Source organism: Homo sapiens, chromosome 2 (genome assembly GCF_000001405.40).
Source record: "Homo sapiens chromosome 2, GRCh38.p14 Primary Assembly".
NCBI lineage: Eukaryota > Metazoa > Chordata > Mammalia > Primates > Hominidae > Homo > Homo sapiens.
The window spans coordinates 8437688-8448591 of record NC_000002.12 but is presented as its reverse complement, the minus strand read 5'-3'; the positions used below and the strand labels follow the sequence as shown (position 1 = coordinate 8448591).

Here is a 10904-nt window from a genome sequence, read left to right as displayed (position 1 = left end):
CTGTTACCGGAAAGGGGTCCTGATCTAGACCCCAAGAGAGGGTTCTTGGATCCTATGCAAGAAATAATTTGGGGCAAGTCCACAGAGTAAAGTGAAAGCAGTTTATCAGAGAAGCAAAGAAATAAAAGAATGGAGTACCCTAGACAGAGTAGCCCTGAGGGCTGCTGGTTGGCGATTTTAATAGTTATTTCTTGATCATATGGGAAACAATGGATTGTTGGTGAGTTTTCCTGGAAAGTGGTGGGGATTTCCTGAAACTGAGGGTTCCTCTTCCCTTTGGACCATGTAGGGTAACTTCCAGACATTGCCATGGCATTTGTAAATGGTCATGGCACTGGTGGGAGTGTCTTTTAGCATGCGATGCTTTATAATGGCATATAATGAGCATTGAGGATGACTGTCTTGGTTTTGGTGGGTTTCGGCCAGCTTCTTTACCACATCCTGTTTTATCAGTGGGGTCTTTGTGACTTGTGTCTTGTGCCACCCTTCTGTCTCATCCTGTGACTTAGAATGCCTAACCTTCTGGGAATGCAGCCCAGCAGGTCTCAGCCTCACTTTACCCAGCCTGTATTCAAGATGGAGTCACTCTGGTTCAGACGCTTCTGACAGAACTCACTTGAACTCACCTTCTGGGACCTGATTTTGCTATTTCCTTCCTAGGAAGCTTTCTCAGATACCCCCAGGAGACTAACTGCTGCTTTCAGAGCTGTTTGCTTGTCTTCTAACGCTTATGGGAGCACAAGTGACTCATATTCATATGTGTATTCATTCAACAAATATTTACTGCCATCCTACCATGTGCCAGGCACTATGACACATATCTGGGATAAAAGGAGAGAACCAAGATCTAGTCCTTGGAGATGCCCAGATGACTGTGCCTTGAGTCTAATTCCAATTACATTGTGAGGCTGTGGGGACCCCTGGGCTCTGGGGGTCCTTCCCTGCAGGATCCAGTGGGGACAGCACTCCATTCTGGATGCTCTGGTTCTTCATCAGTAGAGTGATGAGGTTGGAGTAGATGGTACTTAAAGTGTCTTCCGGTTCTGAAATTCTGTGAACTGCGGTCACCTAAGGGAGGAATTAAAAAAAAAAATTATCTCTTAATTAGTAAAGTAAAATACTTTCTTTGTAGAAAGTTTTACATACAGAGAATCCAAAAGAAAAGAAAATCAGCATAATTCTACCACTCAGGAATAATCCCCATTAACCTTTTACTTTGATAATTTGTCTTTTATTTTGCATGTATTACTTGAACGAGCTCAAGAACAGCTACTTTTTTGTTTCCTGACTTGAATTCCCACAGGGATATTTCTTTCCCTCAGTCCATCTTCCCCTTCAACATGATTGTTATGGTTTAATATTACTGCTAGCCTTATTATAATCACTATTATCATTAAGTGGCATTTATCAAATATTGACAACAGACCAGGCACTATGTGGAGTGTTTTGTGTTCCTGAGACCTTTTAATTCCCCAGTGATCAGGTGAGCTAGGTGCTGTTGTTCCCATTTGACAGAGGAGGAATTTGAGCCTGACAGTGCTTAAGCAATTGGCTAAAGGTCATACCTTTGTAAGTGTCAGAGGTGTTTGAACCAGAGCAACTCCATCTTGAATAGGAGCTGGGTAAAATGTGGCTGAGACATACTGGGCTGCATTCCCAGAAGGTTAAGGCATTCTAAGTCACAGGATGAGATAGGAATTTGGCACAAGATACAGGTCACAAAGACCTTGCTGATAAAACAAGTTGCAGTAAAGAAGCTGGCCAAAACGCACCAAAACCAAGATGGTGATGAGAGTGATCTCTGGTCGTCCTCACTGCTACACTCCCACCAGCGCCATGACAGTTTACAAATGCCGTGGCAATGTCAGGAAGTTACCCTATCTGGTCCAAAAAGGGGAGGCATGAATAATCCACCCCTTGTTTAGCATATCATCAAGAAATAACCATAAAAATGGGCAACCAGCAGCCCTCGGGCTGCTCTGCCTATGGAGTTCCCTTACATATCCCACCCTTCTTTTATTCCTTTACTTTTTAAATAAACTTGCGTTTGCTTTACTTTATGGACTCGCCTCAAATTTTTTCTTACACGAGATCCCCCTCTCTTGGGGTCTGGATTGGGACCCCTTTCTGGCAACAGTTTTCCAGGCCATGGAGCCCAGATATCCTGAGTGGATGCACATCCTTCCCGTGTCTGAGCTCTCAGGCATCAGACCAGCCCCCTATGGCTGACCCTTTAGATTGTTCCCAGTGTCCCAGCATTATAAAAAATACTCTAATTGAAATCATTGCAGCTAGAAATTTGCACATGATCCATTCTTATTTTCTTTTTCTTTTTTTTTTTGAGACAGAGTTTTGCTCTTGTTGTCCAGGCTGGAGTGCAATGGCACGATCTCAGCTCACTGCAACTTCCACCTCCCGGTTTCAAGCAATTCTCCTGCCTCAGCCTCCTGAATAGCTGGGATTACAGGCATGTACCACCATGCCTGGCTAATTTTGTATTTTTAGTAGAGACAGGGTTTCTCCTTGTTGGTCAGGCTGGTCTCGAACTCCCGACCTCAGGTGATCAGCCCACCTCGGCCTCCCAAAGTGCTGGGATTACAGTAGTGAGCCACCGAGCCAGGCCGATCCATTATTTTCTTTAGATAAATCCTTAGTGGTAGAATTGCAAAGAGAAAGGTTGTGTTAACTTTTGAATATATGCTGCCAAACTCCTCCTTACCCAACAAGCAGAGGTTGTAACAATTTAGTGCCTCCAAAACCAGCAATGAGCAGCCAAGGGGAACTGATACAATGCTGAGGAAGAGAAGAAAAGATCAGATGCAGTGAAAGGAGACAGGGAGGCGGGGCGAGGAGGAGCCATCCCCAGTAGCAGCCCCCTGGCTGTTGTTCAGCACCAGGGATCCTTGATTTGCAGCAGGCTAAAGGGACATTACAGGTCATGGCTTTTACCCAGCTCTGTCATCTAAAGTTATTGACATTAAATAAATGCTCACTTTTCATTTGCTTCAAATTAAAAAAAAAATACATGCCTTTATTGTCTTTCTCTGCTAAGCCAAACCTGAGGCTTGTGCCAGCTCTTTCCATGTGGAAATGTTAGATGAAATTCCAGTGCCATCAAATGAGACCTTTATTCCTCCACCTGCACATTAGGACTCGAATAAACACGTTATCAGCTCGTGAAAATGATGGCAAACAGGTGACTGAAGGATTTGATAAGTCAGCAGCAAAGATTAACAGTTCTTTTCAGAGAAAGCTGTGAGAGGTTCCCCTATTTAAAACAATTGTGGCATGTGAATTTGCAGCACTTAAATCATTATCGGCAATTAGTCCTTGTCAAAAAGGTTGCAGCTGGCTTCAATTACAGGTAAGAATTTTATAATTTAAACTTAGTAGTATGTCTGATAAGTAGGACTTGGAGGAACACCCTCAGGGAGATTTGCAATTTGAGAAAAACTTAAAGACATTTCATAATTCAAAAATTCATTATTTTCAGCAATGCTTTGTTATTGACATCTATTAAGCTTCTAGAAAAAATTTCCATAAACTTCATGCTTCAGCTGTTTTCTTCCCTAACAGAAAAATTACTGATGATTAAAAATTGCTTTTTAAATTATAAAAACACTACATGCACACTATTAAAAAAAATCCAAGCAGCACAGAAGGATACAAAATAAGTCTCTTTCTAGACATCTCCCCATTCTTGGACACCCATGCCCCAAAGATAAGTACTTTTGCTTTCAATTGTTTTAGACATTATCATCATAACTTCATCTCAAATTATTTTTACCTTATTCTTGATCAATCAGCTTTGGAAAGTGTATATTAACTCCTCACTAGGAAAGATAAAGAGTGTAGGGCCCTTCCGTACTCTACCATCTCTCTTTCATATGTTGATTCTTGCTGATTATATTTATTGTGAAATCTATCTGTAAACTTTAAGTAATATGCTTCTCTATTTCTTGACCCTTCAGCTTTAGATCTGCACCATTCTAATAGTGGACATTATTGTTATTACCTATTACGACGGGTATCTCATTGTTTTAATTTGGAATTCCCTAGTGACGCGTGATGTTATATGCTTACTTACCAGCTGTATATCTTCTTTGGTGAAGTGTCCACATCTTTTATCTGTTTTTCAACTGGGCTGCTTGCTTTCTTGTTGAGTTTTAAGAGTTCTTTGTATATTTTGGATAACAGTCCTTTATCAGACATGTCTTTTGCAGATGTGTTTTTTCCCAAGACTGACTTGTCTTCTCATTGTCTTGACAGTATCTTTTGCAGAACAAGAGTTTTTAAAATTTTAATGAAGTCTACCTTATTAATTATTTCTTTAATGGATTGTACCTTTGGTGTTGTAGTTCCATCAACTGTAGATGTTATCTGTTGGTGAGAAAATTAGCATCCCTATACATCCTACCTCTCTTTCCTTTTTGGCTGGCTATGCCATTATTTTTACATCATTAAGATTTAAAATATGTGTATGTTTTACAGTAACTATAATTAAACTTTCTACGCTTCTAAAATCTATGATAAAAATAAAAAGTTAAAATATAGCATTTCTTTTATTATGATTATTTAAAAATTTTCACTGCAAAACAAAAGTACTTTTATGTCACTGAACAGTGCCATTTGAAGGATAATCTTCCAAGGGTCAAGATTAAATGTATTTTTACTTTACTTTTTTTTTTTTTTTGAGATGGAGTCTCACTCTGTCACCCAGGCTGGAGTGCAGTGGTGCGGTCTCAGCTCGCTGCAACCTCCGCCTCCCAGGTTCACGCCATTCTCCTGCCTCAGCCTCCCTAGTAACTGGGACTACAGACGCCCGCCACCACACCTGGATAATTTGTTTTTTATTTTTAGTAGAGAATGGGTTTCACCGTGTTAGCCAGGATGGTCTCCATCTCCTGACCTCATGATCCGCCCGCCTCGGCCTCCCAAAGTGCTGGAATTACAGGCGTGAACCACTGCGCCCGGCCGTATTTTTACTTTTCTTAAAACTACAACCATTCCTCAAAACTAGGCCACCTTTAAATCTGCTTCATATTTGGTCCATGCATGTTTTATGGAGCTATCTCCTCTACCCCCCACCTTGGTATTTCTTGCTTCCTGTTTGTTTGTTTGTTTTTTCTAACCACTGAGAGAAGAGACATACGCATCTTTTAGACTTTCCAGGTTCTTAATCAAATAATATATGTAATTGGATTCACTTCTGTCTTGAAGGCCTTTTTCTCCAATCCCTCCTACTTTCTCTTCTAGTTGGTCACTTGCTTTCTAGGCACAGGGTATAGCTGTCAATCTCAGATTTCTTATCATTGATCTCCTCCGTGGTTCACCATGAGTTAAATTGCATAGCATCGTTTTCCTTGAGCTTCTTCTTCATTTTGACAGAGTGTAACCCTCTCTGTGCCACATTTTCTCATCTGTAAAATTAGGATATTAATAATGCCATAGTGTTGATGTGAAGATTCAAGGAGTTTTAATACATGAAAAGTGCTAAGAAAAGTACCTGGTGAGTATTTACTGCTCTGTGATTTTTTTTTTTTTTTTCCCAGAAAGGGAAGTAAAACTTTCTGAGTCTTACAACTCTTAAAATATCTTTATTTTCCACTGCCCCACTTGATTGATAGTTTGGAATGTAATTTTAGTTTCAAAATAATTTTCCCTTATAATTTTTGAATGCTTTATTCCTTTGTCTTCTAATATTACATTCTACTGATAAATCTGAGGCCGAGTTACTTCTTATTCTTTATAGGTTTCTTTTTTCCTTCTAGAAGTATTTGCAGTTGTTATTTTAGCCTTGGGGTTCTGAAATGTTAACAGGACATATGTAGGTCTTTTTTAAACGCCCTTTAACTCATCCTTCCTGGCACTTTGTTATCTGCTTCTGGAGATAGATTAGGTGATATTGAACCTTCTGGGTTTAGCTTCTCTACATTTTCATTTTCCTTTCATATTTTCTTTCTCTCTGTCTTTTGCAGCTTGTGCTGTTGGTCTTTAGTAACTTGGTCTTTAGCTGTGTTCAAATTTTAATTAACCTGTATACTGAATGTTTAATATTCACAAATAGATTCTAAATTGCCAAGGTACTTTCTTGTTCTCTGCTTCCTCCTTTCCCCAAGCAGTGAGTTCTTTGGGGATGGCTATAACAGCATAGCCAGTCTCTCTGACCATGCCAGTTACATCTTTTTAAAGTTGTTTTCTGTCCAATAATTATTCCTCTTTTCACCAGGGTCAGTTGTCCTGTTTCTTTATCTAGACTTCTAACAATTTATTTACTTATTTTCTTCAAATACCTGATGGTTTTGGGTTGAATCTATGAATGAAGAACTATGTTGGTGAGCAAAGGGAGTTGATGTGGTTTCCTTTGCAAATGTGTGGGTCTCTAAAGCAGAACTGTCTCCCGCTGGCTGGAGGGCTGCCTGCAGGCTCCATGCACGTGGGCAGTTCTTGGGGACAGATGTGCTTCCCCAAAGGTGCTAGAGCAGAGAGCAGGCAGGTGTGGGACCTCCCACAATTGCCACTTTTCCCAAATTATCCCAATTCCTCAGAGTGTAAAAACATATCAAGTAAAATAAGGGTAATTTCTTTAGTTGTCTTGTAATGAAAATGCACGTATTAACTGAATTTTATCCTCTTTTATCATTGAGGGGAGAAGGCAGCAAAGCACCCCAATACGAAGAGATGAATGATAATCAAGGAATGAGTGAATTTGTCCAGTCGCGTAAACATTGACAGAGACAAAGCAGCATCACACTTCTTCATTCACGATTGCAAGTCCTGTGGGTCGTTAACTTTTTTGTTGTTATTGATGTTGATGGTGTGATAGGCTGGGCCATTCCCACAACAGCATTGCTTGTTTCGGACTCTTATTAGCTTGATCAATGCGATCGCCTCTTCCTACTGATCCTCCGTGCCAGCGTCTCCTCACTGTGTTCTGAGGCTCCTGTAATCTCTCCCCATGTCAACCACTGCCTCTGTGCTGACAATTCTCCATCTCTAACCTCGATTTCTAGGTGGCCTACCTGGTTGGGTGGTCCAGACTTCCACGCCTGAGAGCCCGAGCCCTTGGTCGTCACGTCCTCCTTTGGCTTTGGCTGCTGCTCTTGTCCATTCACCATCAAATATGGATGAAAGAGTCCAAGGCGACACCTTGATGGATCTCCTGAGTGCCGAATGGAGTCAGTAGCTTCATTGTGCAGTAGCTTCATCCTCCTGAGAATCCCCCTGCGATTCCCCAGGTTGGCAGTTCCTTTCCTTGCCTACTGGATGCTTGCTGCAAGGGGCCCAAAGTGCAGACATGGGCCCCTTTTGGGAGCACAGATTCCTGGAGTGGGAGTAATGGTGTGGTCACACCTGCATCCAGCCCATTGTTTCGGAATCCACGTGTTCTACCTGCTGGGGACACAGTACTATTTGATGATCATTGATTTTGCCGTGTGCCATCTTTGCAGTGGATCAGCTCCAAGCTGGTGTTTCAGCTACGTTTTTTTTTTTTTTTTTTAGATGGAGTCTCACTCTGTCACCCAGGCTGGAGTGCAGTGGCGCAATCTCAGCTCACTGCAACCTCTGCCTCCTGTGTTGAAGCAGTTCTCTTGCTTCAGCCTCCCAAGCAGCTGGGATTACAGGTATGCACCACCATGCCTGGCTTTTTTTTTTGTATTTTTTAGTGGAGATGGAGTTTCACCATGTATTTTGTATTTTTTAGTAGAGATGGAGTTTCACCATGTTGGCCAGGCTGGTCTTGAACTCCTGACCACGAGTGATCTGCCCACCTCCACCTCCCAAAGTGCTGGCATTACAGGTGTGAGCCACTGTGCCCAGCCTCAGCTACATCTTTCAAAGACAGTTCCATGGTTTTATCAGGCCAGCAGCTTTCTGGATGGTGGTAGGACCCAAAAGGATGGCCACGGATTTCATGATCCCATGCTGTGCCACCTCTGTTGCAAGGTCGGACACTTGGTCTGATGCAATGTTTTGTGGGATCATGTGCTGGCAAATCAAACATGCCATGGGCCCTTGGGCATTGGAGCTGGCTGAAGCCCTTGGGCAGGAAAGGTCAGGCTGTAAGTGAATGATGATTTGATTCTAGTCAACAAATTGCCTGTTGTGTCAGCACCATGGTGGCAGTGATAGGGGCTGGCAGCAGCTGGCCAGTTGCACACTTGGATGCTTAGTTCTTCCCAGTGGTGCTTGCGCTCTGGCGGGTGTGAACACGCTCTGCACCCATGCCCAGCACCCATGATGTGCTGCTCCCATGAGCTCGCTTCAATCTTCTGATCTTGCTTTCTTCTCCCAAGCAGCCTGCCAGGTGTCCCACATGAACGCAGCCTGTTCTGGTTCTCCTTCCTGATAAGAGTGGAAAAGAATGCATTCACCCGGTATGGGCTGCATTCCTGGGCCACAGGCCACCAAGCTCACCTGCACCAGGAAAGCTGCTCCCCACCAGTTACAAACAGCAACTGCCTGATCGAGTTGCAGATGTCCATTGTCATCCTCTAGGGTCTGTCGGGATTTTCTAGGGCCAGACGTGAATTAAATAGGGGTGTGCTGGGTGCAGCCCTCGCATCCTCTAGGTGTTTAATCTCTGGCATTTCCTCTGGGATGTGATATTATTTTTGATTTCCTGCATTGATGTGTGTGTCTGGGAGTGGGGGGCCTCCACTTGAACTTCCCCATGGTGGTAGTTCCTACCACCGACTCCTAGGAACTAATGTGGCAGTTTTACCAATTTCAAAAGTCAGTTTGAATTCTACATTTGGAGGCTGGGGAAAGGGCTCCTGGTTGGGTCTATGGACCCAGGGGAGTCACTGTGAGCTGGGTTTGGTTACCTCTTCCTTCAAAACCGGCCCCTGCACACCTCCACTCTAACAGAGGGTTCAGGACCAGGCCTAGGTCCCTAGGTACCAGTGTCGCCTCAGATCCTGTGCCCAGTGGTCCTCACATGGCATGTGTCTCTTTGTGGACGATCTGGGGGAGAATGTTTGTACAGACACTGCTGTGATGGGGGAGAATGTTTGTATAGACACTGCTGTGATGTTGGAGGGTCCTTCCTCCCGGGGCTCACCCTCTCCCTCAGTCAGTGGGTTCCAGGTCTGAAAATGAGCTCAGCTCCAGGGCTGAAATGTAGCTTTCTATTGGTCATTTTCCTGAAGCCTCTTGACTAGTTTCCCTTGAGAAAAGCTTTTGCTAAGGGTGTGTGGATTGAGAGGTGCCCTTTTCTCCTGCTATATATCTACCCTTTGCAGATGGGGTCAGGTGCTCCAGCTGCCACTCTGGGCTTGATGCCCTGTGTCACTGTGCCTACCTTGCTCCCTGCCAAATGACACACTAGCTTCTGTTGTTGTGGGATTCCATTGGCCTCCTTTGCATTCAAGAGTCCAATTCTGTAACAACAGCATAGCCGCCCCGCTTGTTTCCGCAGGCTCCCTCTCAGCAGTGCGTTCTTTATCTAGCTGGTAACTGGCATGTTCTCTGGTTGAAGGGCGTGGCTGGCTTTCCGAGCTGATGTGCTGGACCTGCTCTAGAGGGCATACTCCTCTGAGCCTTTCTGTCCCTTCCTTCATGGGCAGGAGGGCGGCCCAGGCATTTCTGCTTAACTTAGTATGGACCTTTGCTTCCTTCAGGCTCCTAGGAGCCCTCCTAGAGCACGTTAGCACTGCTTAGGGGCCTTGCCAGAGTTTACAACCCTGGATCATGGAAGGGCAGGCCCACACTGATAAACTCTCCCTATTCCAAGCTTAGGTTCTGACCGTCTTAGTCTTGTACCCTCAGAACCCAGCCCCACACATTCTCCTGGTTTCTGCCCATGCCTCTCCATGAGGTCTTGCAGCTTCTCTGGGGGCCTTTCTTCCTGTAGCAGGCACTTCCTGCACTTCCCCATCTATGTACTGCTGTGACCTGAACCTCATGATCAGCCCGGTTAGCGGGAGGGGAAGTGGGGGCAGAGGCCCAGGGGTGCATGCATCAGGGAGATGCCCACATTGTCTTGTGGGGCAGAGCTTCTGCAGCAGGGGTCCCCAGTCTTTCTGGCACCAGGAACTGGTTTTGTGGAAGACAGTTTTTCCATAGACTGGGGGTGGGGGGTGGTTTCAGGATGACTCAAGCACATTACCTTTATTGTACAATTTATTTCTATTATTATTACATTGTAATATATAATAAAATAATTATGCAACTCACCATCGTGTAGAATAAGTGGGAGCCCTGAGCTTGTTTTCCTGCAACTAGATGGTCCCATCTGGGGGTGATGGGAGACAGTGACAGATCATCAGGCATTAGATTCTCATAAGGAGCATGTGACCTAGATCCTTTGCCTGTGCGGCTCACAACAGAGTTCGTGCTCCTATGAGAACCTAATGCTGCTGCTGATCTGGCAGGAGGCGGAGCTCAGGTGGTGATGCTCACTTGCCCGCTGCTCACCTCCTGCTATGTGGCCTGGTTCCTAACAGGCCATGGATGGATACTGGTTCATGGTCCAGGGGTTGGGGACCCCTGCCTTGCAGCATTTTTCAAGTGGGGGGAGCACTAGCCTTTAACAAGGAGGAGAGAGACCCTTCTGCAAGGCCAGAGTGTTCTCACAGTTGTTGGGGGGATGTTGACCCGGATGTCCCCATCCCAAATATTAGAGTCCCACTCCTTTACAACCAGGTCCTCAGCTGGCATGGCAGACTTGTCAGGGCTGAAAGTTCAGCCATCTCTGGAGCTCTTCTGCCCTTGTAATTCAAGCCTAAGCCAGCTCTTCAGCTTTTCCTGCCATCTGGCTGAAGGAGATGTGAGCCTACCTACTTATATGCTGCCAGGAAGGTTTTCTGACTCACACGCTTCACCTGAGGTTGGTGATTAATAACTCTCAGGCTTTCATTGTCTTTCTCCAATAAATGATGCCACTTAGCAACGGCCATTCA

General features: G+C 44.4%; 2 annotated features.

Moving 5' to 3' along the window:
- Positions 293-1492: an enhancer, noted in NCBI's record as "P300/CBP strongly-dependent group 1 enhancer chr2:8587230-8588429 (GRCh37/hg19 assembly coordinates)". NCBI's record gives its function as "activates an origin of replication core promoter dependent on BRD2, BRD4, P300/CBP, MED14 and CDK7 cofactors, with strong dependence on P300/CBP, by STARR-seq in HCT116 cells {active_cell/tissue: HCT116}" and the evidence as "EXISTENCE:reporter gene assay evidence [ECO:0000049][PMID:35650434]".
- Positions 7692-8191: an enhancer, noted in NCBI's record as "H3K4me1 hESC enhancer chr2:8580531-8581030 (GRCh37/hg19 assembly coordinates)". NCBI's record gives its function as "activates a minimal SCP1, AML or CMV promoter by ChIP-STARR-seq in primed H9 embryonic stem cells {active_cell/tissue: H9 hESC(primed)}" and the evidence as "EXISTENCE:reporter gene assay evidence [ECO:0000049][PMID:30033119]".